The following is a 15,223-nucleotide window of genomic DNA, read 5'->3' on the forward strand; positions in this document are numbered from 1 at the left end:
TTTAAAACCCTTTAGTGACTCCTTTACCTGCTACATAAAATTCAAGTTATTTATCTTGGTCTTCCACAGTTTCCAGAGCCAAACAGCACTCAAATCCTTAATAAGCATGTGACCCTGGGAAAGATCTTTGATCACTATGCCTTGTGTTCTCTTCCAGAAAATGAGAAAACCAATATTGGACTGTACTGGACAGGACATATGTACTATATCAGATTCTCCCTGGCCACATGCATAGAGTCTCTGTCTTTTCCCACCACTTTAAAGACATTGATAAAATGCCATACCACAGGGCATGAGATCTGGCATCCCAAGTTGCCACCAGCAAACCTAGAAGTGTGGGTGAGTTAATACTTATGGGATAAAATTTGACTAATGGAAAATGGGAGATAGCTAACTGCCAGGCAGATAAATTCCCTCTTCTTCCCTCCCTTCCATGAATTGCTGCAAAGCGCCATTTCTCCAAAATAACACAGTCTATGGGGAAACTTCCCAAGTAGCAGGTGGACACAACTGCTATCCCTCCTCAAGGCTTGTCATGAAGCAGTGCCCAGCCTGGTAATACATCATCTTGTATTACTTCCCATTATTTCCTCTCTTGCTTCTTCCCTTGCTTCTCACTCCTAATGCCTTGAGTTTTTACCTCCCCAAATAAAACATCAGTACTTAGTTTTTGGGCTCTGTTTTCTAGGTGAGTTTGAGGGTGGAGGGAAAGGAGAACCTTAGACTAGGGCAGAAAAGGATGAATTCCACTCTAACTTCTCCTCCTCCTCCCACCTGTCCCAGCTATCTGGACTACCAAGTACCAGATATTAAGGGGCTTATCCTGTCCTGCTCTCTCCTGAGGTTGAGGGGATAATGACTATCCTGGCAACTCTGCCAGATAGTTTAGACCTCGTTTCCAGGCTCAGCAGTCTGTTTTACTCCAGAAAGCTAATAGAAAGAAAGGAACTTGGCTATGCTATCAAGTGCAGGGCTGGCATCCCAATCAGGATCAGTCCACTTCAGAGTTTGTCTCTCTCCTAAAAGATGATGCCGTCAGTAGGTGTTTCCTGAACCCATACTGGTGCCAAGCATGGCCACATGATGGCTACAGAGAGATGAATCAGATCTGGTTTCAAGGTACCATCTTGATCTTGGGGCAGACAGGTCCACCTAGGTGCAGTGGCCATGGAGTCGAGGAGCCCCTAAAGGAAAGAGTCAGAAAGGCCTTCTGGAGGAAGTGACCCTTGAGCCCAGTAAGAGAGTGAAGTATCTAGCAATCCCTCAAATGTTGAGATAAACTGAGCAGGTAAATGAAGAGGAAAGAGGATTCCAGACAGAGAGCATTGGACCTGGCAACTGTTCAGGAGAGAGTCAGCCTGCAAGTGTCCATTCATTCATTTGGCAGATGTCTTTTGAGCTCACAATACAAGAGCACCAAGGCTATGGGGTCCCATGGTGAAGAACACCAAAACAACTAAAAAATGTGTCAACAAATAAAGACTTCTCAATGAAGTACCTGAGTCAGACCTGAAGGACTCATGGGGGTTGGTCGCACCACCCATTTCTTGAACATATGCCCTTGGTCATGCTCTGTGCTGGACACAAGAATTCAGAGGAGCATGAAGGTACCCTGCCTCTATTGTGGGGCAGAAATATCATGGACAATAATTGTAAATATGTTCAGTGCTGCCAAGGAAAAGAGCCAGACCTCAGCAGGATCAAGCTTATTCAGCTCTCTGGAGAAGTTCCACAGCCTTGGCCATACCTGCCCCTGCCCTCCCACCCCTATCCTGACTTTATCTTGCTTGGCCACCTTGGTCTGTGTCACTAGTAGCCCCAGCATACTTGGGGTGGACATCAGATGCCCTCCACCCAATCTCCAAGTGAGAGAAGTGGATATGATTGAAAGAACAGAGGCAGAAGGGGCTAATGTGTGACCTGTTCACTGGCTCCAGAGATTGAGGTCTTGGGTATCCAAACTCACTTTCATTTCCAGCTGGGCACCAGGACCCTTCCATGGGGCAGGCTATCTCGGGTTCCATAGGCCAGGGCTGATCTCTGTCCCCCAGCCCACCTGTCTCACACACAGCCCTGTGGGTAGGATCAGCAGACCAGATTGCTTATTGTTGGAATGTAAGATGAGAGATCTGGTTGGTAACCTATCATTTTCTCTGAGAGATGGACATGGAGAGTACCAGAGTGAGCAAGGGTGTACGGTGTGCACTATGATGGTGGGCAAAACAGGCTCCTACCCTTGTGGAGGTCACAATAGAATGGAGGAGGGATGTTACTAGAAATGTACAAAGTGCTGGAGGACACACAGTGGAGACTTACTGCAATGGGGCCAGGGACTTAGGAAGGCATTTCTTGGAAATTGTGGTTTGAGGTCAGAGTTAAGGAAAACTAAGCAGACAAAGAAAGTGAGATAGTAATTCAAGGAGAAATAAATCTGTCCTTTAGCCAGAGATTACCCTGTATGAGGCAGTGGCTAAGCCTTTCCCAATATCACCCAAAGTCCTGCCTCTGCCATTTCCTGGCTGTGCGACTTTGGGCAATTTACTTGTCACCTGTTGCTTCTGATAGCAAAGGGGATGGAGAGATAGAGAAGTTGAAGAGATATAAGGTTTAAAGCGCTTCCTTTGGCTGCTATCTGGAGACTGGATTAGAGCAGGCGTTTAAGAGACAGGAAGGGACTTCAGTGTTTTTGGTGAGAGTCAACGTGGCTTGGGCCTGGGTGTGATAGTGAAGGTAGGGAGAAGTAGAATGTGATAATTAATTAGATTTGCTTGGTGAGGGAGTGGTCAAGAATGACTCCCAGTTTTCTGGCTAGTGTTATTATAAGTAACACATAAAAAGAATGGATGAACTTCATTAATTTATTTTCTATTTATTGTGATATCTAGCATACTTGCAAAACATATTTTGTACATATTCAATTTAAATAATAATAATACTACTTAGTTACCCCTTAGGTCACCTGAGGGAAAACATTTACCAATACACTTAAAGCCTTTGAGTCCCCCATTCTTCTCTCCAGGGGTAACTGCAATCCTAAATTTTTGTTAATCTTGCCTTTCCTATTTATTGTTTTTATTCATATATATATATCTATTTCTAAATGATATAGTGATATGTTTTGTGTGATTTTGAATTTTACATTCACTCAATCTGGGGTTCATTGAACTTTTTTCAATCCAAAGGTTTATAGTCTTAATAAAATGTGGAAAAAAGTAATAACAATGTTATGTAATTTGAGTCACCAATTTAACATAACTGCATCAGTTTACATTCAAAGGGATTCTGCTTATTTACACCAATGTGTCTCGTTCTCTTATTTCAAAATGAAAAACAGTTTTTAAAAAACCCATTAAGCTGAAAATCAAATGCTGTTAATTTTTTTAAAATCACTGTTACATGCTTGCTTCCCTGCACTCTGCTAGCCTTAGACAATAGAGGAGGGATGATACATAGTTAAAATTAATAAATATTAGAAACTCCTAAATAGCATTCATTAATTGCCAGGCACTATTTTAAGGACCTGGCGTATTATAACTCAATCCTCACACTAACCCTAAAGAGATTACTATGGTACCCGTTTACATACAGCACAGAGGTTGAGTTGTTTGCCTACAACACAGAGGTTAAGTAAGTGTCCCAAGGACAAATAGCTTATTGGTGAACCAGTGTCTACACTCTTAAATCACCATTTCACATTAACTCTCAGGAAGGCAGCATCATCAAGAAAGAGCTTTGAGTGTGAGAGATTAAAGAAATGTGGGAGATGATGAATATTAGCATTCCAGAAAATCCTAGAGAGACACATCACATCAAAATACGGCCTTTAAAACCAGTTTATGCCAGTTGCAAGTGGACATGTATATTAAGAGCCAGGAAATTAGTAATTATTATGAAAAGCTTAAGTCCAAGTTGACAGAGCTTCTTGCCACACAGCCAAGAGTACAGTCTAACATGAAATGTGCCTGGTGCTACGTTTTGCCTACTCCAGGGGGCTCTCCAGACTCCATTAATCTTTGGATTATCCTTAAATTTTCCCATGACTTGGACTTTCCTTCCTAGTTATTAAGGATTGATAACTTGGCTCCCTGTTTATCTAAAGCTGGCTTCAGTTTTTCTCATGGGTTCTACCCACTGGGAGGTCCCTATGTTTAACCCACTGTAGTCCATGGACTTTCCCTCTCCATCACAGACTTCCAGGACTCCAGCCAAGTTGCAGATCTTCAGATTTCCTTTTAGCTAAGATGAGACAAAGAATGCCACCAGATTTTCTTCTATATACAACAGAATACAAAGTGCGGGAGTGGGTGTCTCTAAAGATTCTTTCTTGCTCTAATGATGAACACTTTGTTTTTTCTTTGAGTGTGCAAATGGTTCCATAATTTAAGTTAATAGTGTTTATGACAATATGTAATAAATACCATAAAAAGTATAAGTCATTCTGGGTGTGTTAGCTCATTAAAACAAATGCTTGCTAGATTCTGTAGCAAGCTTTAGAAACATGGTGCTAACTCATGTAAATTGCCATGACAAATGTGCTTTAGGACCAATAAAGTGTGTACTGACTCATTAATAGTCAAATCCAACATCTCCCTGTTGGTTCCCAAGAAAAGTCAAGTGGAGATTGGTGGAAGAGAAATTGCTGCCTGAATTCTGCCAACCTTCAGGCATTCTGATTAGCATGTGTGATTTGGTGCCTGTCTTTTGTGACACTGTGCACTTGCTATATCACCCTTGTGTTTTTGATCCTGCAAGTTCTGGAAAAGCCTCGTAGCTCAACACATTCTTCCTGCCAGTGCCTGATGTAGAGTCTTTGGATTTATGCAGACCCCCCAGGTTCCTTCTGGCTCAAAAATAAATAAATAAAAAATAAATTAAAAAAAGCTTTAAGGGGCTCAGAAGGGGGTTTCCAGATTAAACTCCACACAGGTGTGTAGAAATGCAACCAGTCCCAATGGTAAACAAGCATATCTCCTGTCTCAGAAGCACCCAGGAACTACAGGCATAAATATGCAATAAAGATGCACTGACGGGAGGCAAGCTCATGTTTTATAATGCATTTCTGTCTTACTCAACATCTGAGATTCCAGGCACAGTCCAGATCGTGGCTGTTTGGGTTTTGCTAGGAAGAAAGCACCTTTTTTATTACTTAGTAAAAGTATGATTGGGAGTTATAGGAATGACTGTGGAAGAGGTTGGGTGTGTTGAAATATATCTGTGTTGTTCCTTTTGCTGTCAAGCTTTGCTATTTAATTTCACATTATACAAACTGCTTAAAAACAAAGGATTAAAATATTCATTCAACAGAGTCATGTGGTCCTGAAGTTCACAGGTCTCTAAACCTCAGTTGTCTGTGGAAGGTCTCTCACCTTTTATGCTTTTACAGTTTACGGAGTTGACCTTCTCTGTTGCATCCAATGTGGATGATGTGGTTATTGTCTCATATCTGTGAAGCACATTAAATTTTAATGCACACATTCATGAGATTTCTTTGATTGAATCCTCACCACTGGGAAAACACTGAGAAAGCATACTTCCCATTTTATGAGTGAGAAAAATGAGACTCAGGGTAGCTAAGAAAATTGCCCAATATCTTACAGCAAGTAAGTGACAGATATGGACACTAAATTCATTCCTTCTAATTTTAGTCTTATGCTTGACTTCCTCCATTAAAGTGAGTGGTGGGAAGAGGGAAGTTTCCTCTTTCCTTTGGTACTTCCACCTCCTGTATCCTCACCTTTTCTTAGGAGTAGATCTTGATGATCAGAATCTGTTCACATTGGCACTGGCTCATGTAACTTTGTCTTTGCGTCAGACAGATACATGCTAAACAATAGTACATAGACAGCCAACTTTGATGCCTATTGGATGCAGAATTTACCAGGTATCTGGGAGAATAAAGGATCTATAAAATTGAATTAGTCAGTCAAAATGTTTTATCAAGTGCCTATTACGTGCTAGACATCTGGTGTCTGTATTTTAGACTGTTTGGAGAAAACAGACTTTTATAAATATATTGATTCACTCATCTTTCCATTTAATCATTAATTAGCCTAAATCATTTAATTGCTAAATCATATAATATACTAGCCCCCTCCAAAAAATGATAAATAAAAGAGGAAAAGAAAAAAACCTCATCAAAGGAAACAAATAAAAACCTTCTGGGCCAAATTTATTCAAATTAAGACTAAAGATTGTCTATTTGAAAGCATATCGGCTCCATTTACGTTTTCTCCATCCCAGTAGGAATCAACTACTCACTCAAGAAATTTATATCCACGATGTAATGTTAAGTTTGTATAATGACCAGAGCTAGAATTGCCTTGATATATTGGACTGCTTTCTTTGCATGCTTTTCTCCTATATTTCATGCCAATAAGTATAACTTCCCTCCAGTATATTTCAATTTTTCTTTTCATTCCTAAAGTGCACAATCTCAGACAAACAGGAAAAGCTTTGACAGTAACTTTGAAAGGTTTTTTTTTCTTTAAATAAAAGCTTTTTAAAATTTACTGTTATTTCCAGTTCTAGCTATCAGCCTGTACTAGTATACCTATTTGATGTAATTGAATATTTAGAAAAAATAAAATATGCTTCATAAAATGCTGGTGTAAAATCAACTGTGGCAAGCCGTTAAAAAAAAAACACTCCACTAAGATTTACTAGCATGGAATTTTAAAAAATTTATTCCACTTTTTTTTAGATTTATATTTCAATTTTATGCTTTAATTTCTTATTAAGAGACTGCATAAAAATAAGTATGCAAAGGACTTAGTTAAACAAATAATGAAGACAACTGTGTGAATGCATTATCGTAAAAATGAAATATTTGCTAAAAATCTAGGAGACAAATAGGAAGAGCTAATGTTTACTGAGACCTTACTAAGAACCAGGCATAAAATACACATGCATTATTAACCCACTTACCTTTCCAAATTTTTGTTATTGTTGCTTTGTTTTGAGATGGAGTTTTGCTCTTGTCGCCCAGGCTGGGGTGCAATGGCATGATCTCAGTTCACAGCAACCTCTGCCTCCCGACAGTTCTCCTGCCTCAGGCTCCCAAGTATCTGGGATAACAGGCCCCTGTCCCCACACCCAGCTAATTTTTGTGTTTTTAGTAGAGACGGGGTTTCATCATGTTGGCCAGGCTGGTTTCAAACTCCTGACCTCAGAAGATCCACCCACATTGGCCTCCCAAAGTGCTAGGATTACAGGTGTGAGCCATCATGCCCGGCCCAACTCTTCTTTAAGAAAGGCAGCACTGTTACCTCATTTTATAGCCTGACCATTTTGGCATATGGAAATTATGGAATTCTTGCAAGGACACCGAGCTAGTCAGTGCGAGAGCAGAGATTTGGGAATTCAAAGCCAGCTTGCCTGAATCTGGCTGTTACTATTCTTATTAAGGAATCTTGGGCCTGTTGAGATTCACCAATCACCTAATTTGGAAAAGACACTTTCATTTCCCCTCCCTTTAGCTTCTTTCTTCAACAAAGAATGGAACATCTAGGGACAATTTAAAACACATTAGATACAAAACTAAGCTACTAGCTTCCTTGTATCTACAAAACTGTTGAAACAGGCTTTTCAAGAAGGAGTGAGTGAAATGTGTGAGTTGATGGGACCCTACACATGGCCATGTTTAAAGACAAATAGAATAAAATCAATTATTGGGCACAGAAGCAGCGTATCTGTGCTCAAGTTAAATTAAAGTGACAAGGGATAGTAGAAAGTAGATGAAGTTTGAGTTGAGGTACAGGTGGACTAAAAAAGTAGTGTGGAAAGATAAACAGAAAAAAGGAAAAAGGCAGGTGGGTGAAGACAACTACACATATTGAAGAAGCTGAAAACAGTGGGTTAGTGGGCGTGAGGATTATATTCCTCTAGGAAGAATTGGACTAAGGGAGAAGGTGTTAACAGATAATCTTCTAATCCCCAATAGGAACTGGACTTCAAATCACTGTGACTTGGCTTCCATTATTTGATGCAGCAGGCCACCTAAGAGCGGGTTCTCTCCTCCTGCAGCTATCATTTTAAACTTTCTAAGGAATTATTTCCTGACTTCATTATGCGGCAGGTGTGTGAGTTTCCTATTGCTCCTGTAACAAAACATCACAAAGTTTGTGGCTTAAAGCAGCATAAATTTATTGTTTCCCAGTTCTGGAGTCCAGAAGTCCAAGATCAAGGTGTTGGGAGGGCTGATTTCTTCCAGAGATTCTGAAGGAGAATCTGTTCCAGGCCTCTCTCATAGTCTCTGATCGCTGTAGATGAACAACCCTTGGTATTCCTTGGCTCGTAGATGTATCACTCCAATCTCTGACTCTGTCTTCACATGGCCTTCCTCATTGTGTCTGTATGTCTTTGTATATTCACATGACAGTATTCCTGTGTTTCTGTGTCTGTGTTCAAATTTTTCTCTTGTTAGAAGGACACTAGTCATATTAAATTAATGCACAATGTAATGACCTCATATTAATTTAATTAAATCTGCAAAAACCCTACGTCCAAAGAAGATCACCTGTACAGGTACTGCAGGTTAGGACTTCAACATATGTTTTTTGGGAGGACGCGATTTGACTCCGGACCGTAGGGTGAGATCTGATGTTTCACTACCTGCTAGTTTTTCATATTTTACTTCTGAGAAAACCAAGTCTTAGGATATTCAAACATCAGGTCTTATTGTCATGATTTGATCCCAGGCCCCAGTCCTAATGAAATTTTTCTTATTATACCATTCTGGAAAACTTCTTTTTAACTAATGCTCATGTGGTCCCCTAAAAAGCCATGGTAAAAGACGTGATTTAGGGAATGGGGCTAAGAAGGTGAGGGTTGGGGTAACAATTATTTCTATTGGTATAAATGGTACTTTACACACCTGTTACTGAGTAGACACCCAATACCTGTTTCATCAATGCAGAAAATCACACAAAGCATCAAGGACACTGATAGCAATGAAAGACTGCTTTTGATAATTCAAATATCTCACTAATAATTTTCGCACTCTCCTCCTGGTACACTGTATAGCACACTTACCTGAAAATTGGCTTCCAGATTCAATTTCTCACTAGAGGTCTGCCTTCACTTCACCACTTAATAGAAAGCTCTACAGGATGCCTTACTTTTCTGTTCTAAAGCACTATCTTTAGAACAGAAGCTATAGAATAAAAGAGATCTGGTGTCAAACCCCAGCCCATTTCCTTGCTAGCTTTGTGATCTTGGGTAATATATATTAATCTTTCTTAAACTTGGCTTCTTCATCTATAAAGTAAAGACAAAGATAGCACCTGTGAGGATTAAATGAGCAAATCTATGTAAAGTGTTAGAGAATAAAAGCTGGTCAACAGAATGTGGTATGTTATTATCATAAGTATTCCATGTACTTGGCTTGACACATTGTATGTGATTTTACATATAACGTTCATACCACTTTTTGAGGTAGGTGCTACTTTTATCCCCATTTTGTAGACAGGAACTGACACAGAGGGGCTGAGGACCTAGGTTAAGCATTCATGGCTTCAGAGGAGTAGTGAAAGGGATGGGATAGGTCGGGCTTAGGCCTGTCTGACTCTAAAGGCTTGTTTTTTAACCTCATTATCCTAATATGATGCATTATTTTAGGGAGCACAAAGAAAAGTGTTTTGGTTTAACACCAGACAGAAAACAGTCTGAATTTACCTTCACAGTGTTTGTTCAGGTATTGACTTCTCAGACACAAGTAGAATAAAAACTAATAAATAAGCAAACAAACAAACAAGCCTGCTTTTCCTTAGTAGGAAGTGAACATGGCTAGAAACCATCTGCATCTCACTCCCACCCCAACTCAATCCCTTCCGCATGACACTGTCAGGACTCTCATGGCCCCTCCTGGGTAAAACAATGGCCCTTTGGGTAACCACCAGCATGCAGGAACAGCAAAGTTCCAAATGGGATCCTGGCCAGTTTCAGTTACAAATAGATTTTAAGCAATTCACCAAAGCACAATATACAAAAAGTGACCAAAAACGTGTGGGAAAAGTAGGGTGAAGAATCACTGGCAAGTGAGTTACCAAATATGAACACAGGGGAAATATAGGAACAGTTATCCATATCCAAAAGAGGTTGACAAGCCAGGCTAGCAGGTGTTGATAAAAAGAAGGAGCTGCAGAAACAAGGAGGGACCTCTGGAGGAAACCATTTGTGAATGGCTTTGATTTAGCTCCCCTGGGGTCCCCTCTGCAGCTCTATAAAGTAGCAGACCTCACAGTTTAAAATCAGATACCAATGCGTCAAGGGCATTCACAGGAACCCCAGTTCTGATAGCCAGCTGCTATGGTCTGAATGTCCCTCAAAACATATGTGTTGGAAACTTATTCCCAATGCAACAGCATTGGGAGTTGGGTCCTAATAAGTGTTTAGGTCATGAGATCTCCTTCCTCATGAATAGATATTGCCACTATAGAAAGTGTTCATGGGAGTGGGTTCACTCTCTTCTGCTCTTCTGCCATATGAAGACATAATGTTGGTCTCTGCTTGTCTTTTTACTTGCCATGTAAGCATGCAACAAGAAGGCCCTCACCAGACACCAGACACCACAGATGCTGGTGCCTTGATCTTAGACTTTCCAGACTCCAGAACTGTGACAGATAAATCCCTTTTCTATATAAAGTTGTGCAGTCCCCAGTCATCTGTTACGGCAGACCAAAACGCACTATGACACCAGCTCTTCTATACTCACTTGTCTGACCACCTCAGAGGGACAATCAACATAAGGCCAAATGCATTTACCTTGAGGATGCTACAAAACATAAACACTACCTACTGACATAGAATGTGTGAACCTAGCTTCCCATAAGAAATTAAAGCATTTTGGTCTGCACTAAAAGCAGAATTCAATTATTATAGGAAGACTTATGATGAAGGAATAAAAAAAGAGTTATGTAATAAATGTGAGTCACAAGAGTACATTAGTGAACTTGGTTTCAATTATTCCAAGCATCAAGAGAGTTAGGGCTCTGAATTTTGTAAAAACTAGTTTATTGCGCATTTTAATTGAGGAGGTGATAAAGGCTGTAGATTTTCTGCATACTTAGTACTACTTACTTTAAAAAACTTGAAATATAAATTTGTTTATTTAATATAGGTGGATGATTTAGTCAGGAAAATATTTGAAAGGGGTTCTTTCATCTGCTTTTTCAGATTAAGGAGTTTGGTAAATCAGATGACTAAACAACTCACATCTTTAAACCCTCAATTATAATTTTTCAGTGCCATGGCAGAGATATGGATTCACCAGACTTGATGCTGTAAAAAGACAGCATATATTTCAATTTGGCTGATTGGTTTCAGAAAGTAAAGCCACTCAAGAGAAAGCTGGACATGAGGATTGAACAGATGGTGACTTGAGACTATAGCCAATTCCCATTGCTAAACTACCCTGAAGTCAATGGAATCACAGCTGTCAAAGAATTGTAGAGCTATTCAGTGGAAATGAAAACCTAATTTCAGAAACAATTCATAGATTTGATGGGCATGAATCATACCTTATGTTTTTGTGTCTGCCTTTAGGTTCCAACTCTATGGGTATATCTCAGTCATTTAGCATCTGCTCTATCTTTGAGGCTGAGTTTCCAGAAGACCTGATTCAACCAGAAGCAAAAGACAGTAGCCAAGAAGATGGCATAGCATAAGAATCTTGGAAATTGATAAAAACATCCCAGAGATATCCAACAAAATTAGTAACTATGTGAAGAGATTCTGTAATATTGGGTCTATTGGGCTCTGTGGGAAGGTATTCCCTTTGGAAATGACTGAAATGGAAATTTTGAACCACTTTCAATGATACAAGTTTGGGGTTAACATGGAGATGGTGCTTCACAGAAGACACCACATTTCAATAATTGTATTCTTATCGAATTGTTTAAAATTGGTCAGTGACTAATATTAAGCCTCTAAGAACAAAATTCATTAGGTTTATTTAGCCTGTTTTTGCATTACTGCTACAAAATCCAATAGTTTAAATAGCTAACTGAATACTTTTGATGTTAAAGAGCAAAATTTCATGAAGATTTTAGATCAAGAGAGCTACCACTGAGAAAAAACAATGCAGATTTGTGGTAAAGTCCCATGAATTTGTTGAACTGCCAAGGCTTCTGATCATCACTGCTGAAGAACTTCTAATGGTGACTTCCATCTCAGCTTTCTCATTGCCAACTATTAAGAATGTATGGATTATCCAGATGTTGCAACACAGTTGTGTTTTTGGCTTCACCACTCCCTCTGGGCTGTGATTCTGTTTTTTTTTTCTTTTATTGTTGATGTTCTTTGTTTTTAATATGAGAAAGATTTGTGTATTATACTTCAGTTTTAGTTTCCTTAATCACAGACTAGACAAAAGAAAATTGGCTTGGTTTCCTATTAGGAAACCACTTAGAAGCCATTATCAGAATCGTAGACCATCACTGTGAACTATATCCAGGTGTTGTCATGAAAGTATGACATCCTAGAGTGGAAAAGCAACCTGGGTTTCCGAGACTGTTTTACTCTTTTATCTGGAATGTTGTTTTAGCTGCTATGGCTCCAACAGGGTGAACATAGCATTTTATTTAATCTAAATATCTTTCTGCTTTTTTTTTCTAAGTTGCAAAAAGTCAATGACCACATTTCATCTCTAGCCTCTCGTGAGGTTTAAATTACACAAGGAAGAAATATTTACAATGTCAAATGCTGAAGATTGTTTGGAGTCAGAAGTGATTGTTCAGAATCTGTCTTAATGACAAGTCAGAAATTAGACAAAGAGATGAAATGCTAAGCCCCCAATGTGTTCTGAAAAGTTAAATAACCATCTTACATCAGTTGGTACGTTTTTGTAAGAGTCCAGGATGTAAAAGTGATAAATAAATTAATGAAAAGCACTTTTAAAAATCAACAAAAGACATGGCAGGAAATGGAAGAAAAGAGAAGCAAGGGATGCATTCTAATAGATATTAAGAACAAGCCAAAGTGCAGTATTTGCTCTAGGGTTTTACTGTTCATTGTGTCAAGACTCACAGATTTTAGATATTTTTTTTAATTGGGAAAGTAAATGAGGCAGGTAGATAAGTAGAAAAAGTTGTGTGAAACTCATCAGTACTGAAAATAAATAGTTGTACTTCTCTGTGGTTGTAGTTAAACTTATTCAAAGCTCAGTGTCCTAGTGGAAGAGTGGAAATGAACCTCACATAGTTGTTCAACTGTCCTATGAGTAGGCAAAAATTTCCACACATCATGTTTATTGATCATGATTTTTCTTTTCTTGGACTGTTATTTTAAGATCAGTACACACTTTACCTCATACCTCTACAAGAAAGTGTAGGATCTCATGGTCCTGTGTATGTGCTCTATAAAGTACATGATGAAGGAACCTTGTCTGTCTTTTGCTACACAGCCCAACATAGAATAGAACCTGACACAATGGAGTCACAAAAAGCATGTGTCAAATGAATGAATAAAGAATCAGCACGCACCATTGTGGAAGACAGTGTGGCGATTCCTCAGGGATCTAGAACTAGAAATACCATTTGACCCAGCCATCCCATTACTGGGTATATACCCAAAGGATTATAAATCATGCTGCTATAAAGACACATGCACATGTATGTTTATTGCGGCACTATTCACAATAGCAAAGACTTGGAACCAACCCAAATGTCCAACAATGATAGACTGGATTAAGAAAATGTGGCACATATACACCATAGAATACTATGTAGCCATAAAAAATGATGAGTTCATGTCCTTTGTAGGGACATGGATGAAGCTGGAAACCATCATTCTCAGCAAACTATCGCAAGGACAAAAAACCAAACACCGCATGTTCTCACTCATAGGTGGGAATTGAACAATAAGAACACTTGGACACAGGAAGGGGAACATCACACACCAGGGCCTGTTGTGGGGTGGGGAATGGGGGAGGGATAGTATTAGGAGATATACCTTATGTAAATGACGAGTTAATGGGTGCAGCACACCAACATGGCCCATGTATACCTATGTAACAAACCTGCACGTTGTGCACATGTACCCTAGAACTTAAAAGTATAATAAAAAATATATATTAAAAAAAATAAAAAATAAAAAATAGAAAAAGGATCAACTCACTTTATTCTATTTTTTTCTAACTTTTTATCCTTCTCTTCTGTTTTTCTACTTACTAGTATTTTATCTTACTTGTTTTATATGTAATTTTGAAATCCACCTCAAATCAAAAGGACACGGAAGGAAATTTCAGATTTCAGGTAGCTGTAAGTAATACTCCCAAGAACCATTGAGGGTAAGATGCAGGAGAAAGTCTGGGGTAGAATATGACTTTAGATTTATAAGCAAATAGACTTGCTTATATTTTACCCCCAAATTACACAGACTTATAAACCTAGCCATTGACACAGATAGGTAGCCACAGGCTCCTCCTGGAAAGAGCTGAGCTAATCCTTTTTAATTACTTCTCACATGTTCACCTCTTAGATAAACTACTTCTCTTCTGCTGGTGTAATGGCTAATTTTATGTGTCAACTTGACTGGGCTAATGGATGCCCAGAAAGCTGATGAAACATTATTTCTGGGTACATCTGTGCAGGTGTTTCTGGAAAATGTTAGCATTTGAATCAGTAGACTGAGTTAAAAAGATCACCCTCCCCAGTGTGGGTGGGCATCATTCAATTTCTTGAGGGCCTAAATATCATAAATTCACTCTCTCTCTCTGAGTTGGGATATCTATCTTCTCCTCTCACACCTCAGTGCTCCCGGTTCTTGGGCCTTCAGACTCAGACTGAATTATACCACTGGCTTTCATGTTTCCTCAACTTGCAGATAGCCGATCATGGAATTCTTAGCCTCCATAATCTTGCAAGTCAATTCCTATAATAAATCTTCTCTTACAGTTATATTTAATAAAATATTCTCTTATAGATATATGTGGAGTACTAATAACAAAAAGGATTCAGGCTCGTGGGAGCACAGGAAAGCAAAAAGAAAAAGGAGATAAGATATAAATCTGCCTTTTTCATTGTCCAGGACTCAGAGCCCTCCTGCACAACTAACTCACAATCATCCTGCACCTGACTTATCACGAGACCCTCAGCTGATAGAGAAATACAAGTTGGCTCACTGCAACTTTGACATTATCAGTACTGCATGTAGCCCTCTCCAGCACAAGCACCATCCTATAAAATTCCCAGCAAGCCTTTGTCTCCTTGCAGTCAGCTCCTCTCTT

General features: G+C 39.2%; 1 long non-coding RNA gene across 1 annotated transcript in view; it reads left to right on the forward strand.

Annotated features, from left to right (window-relative positions):
- LINC01085 (long intergenic non-protein coding RNA 1085) overlaps positions 1-13,133 on the forward strand; it is a 28,085-nt gene extending 14,952 nt beyond the window's left edge. Inside the window, exons 2-3 of the long non-coding RNA NR_033931.1 lie at positions 158-339; positions 11,542-13,133. This is a non-coding gene — a long non-coding RNA (long intergenic non-protein coding RNA 1085). The remainder of the gene's footprint in view (positions 1-157; positions 340-11,541) is intronic.
- The last annotated feature ends 2,090 nt before the right edge of the window (positions 13,134-15,223 follow it).

The sequence above is a fragment of the Homo sapiens genome, chromosome 4 (genome assembly GCF_000001405.40).
Source record: "Homo sapiens chromosome 4, GRCh38.p14 Primary Assembly".
Classification (NCBI taxonomy): domain Eukaryota; kingdom Metazoa; phylum Chordata; class Mammalia; order Primates; family Hominidae; genus Homo; species Homo sapiens.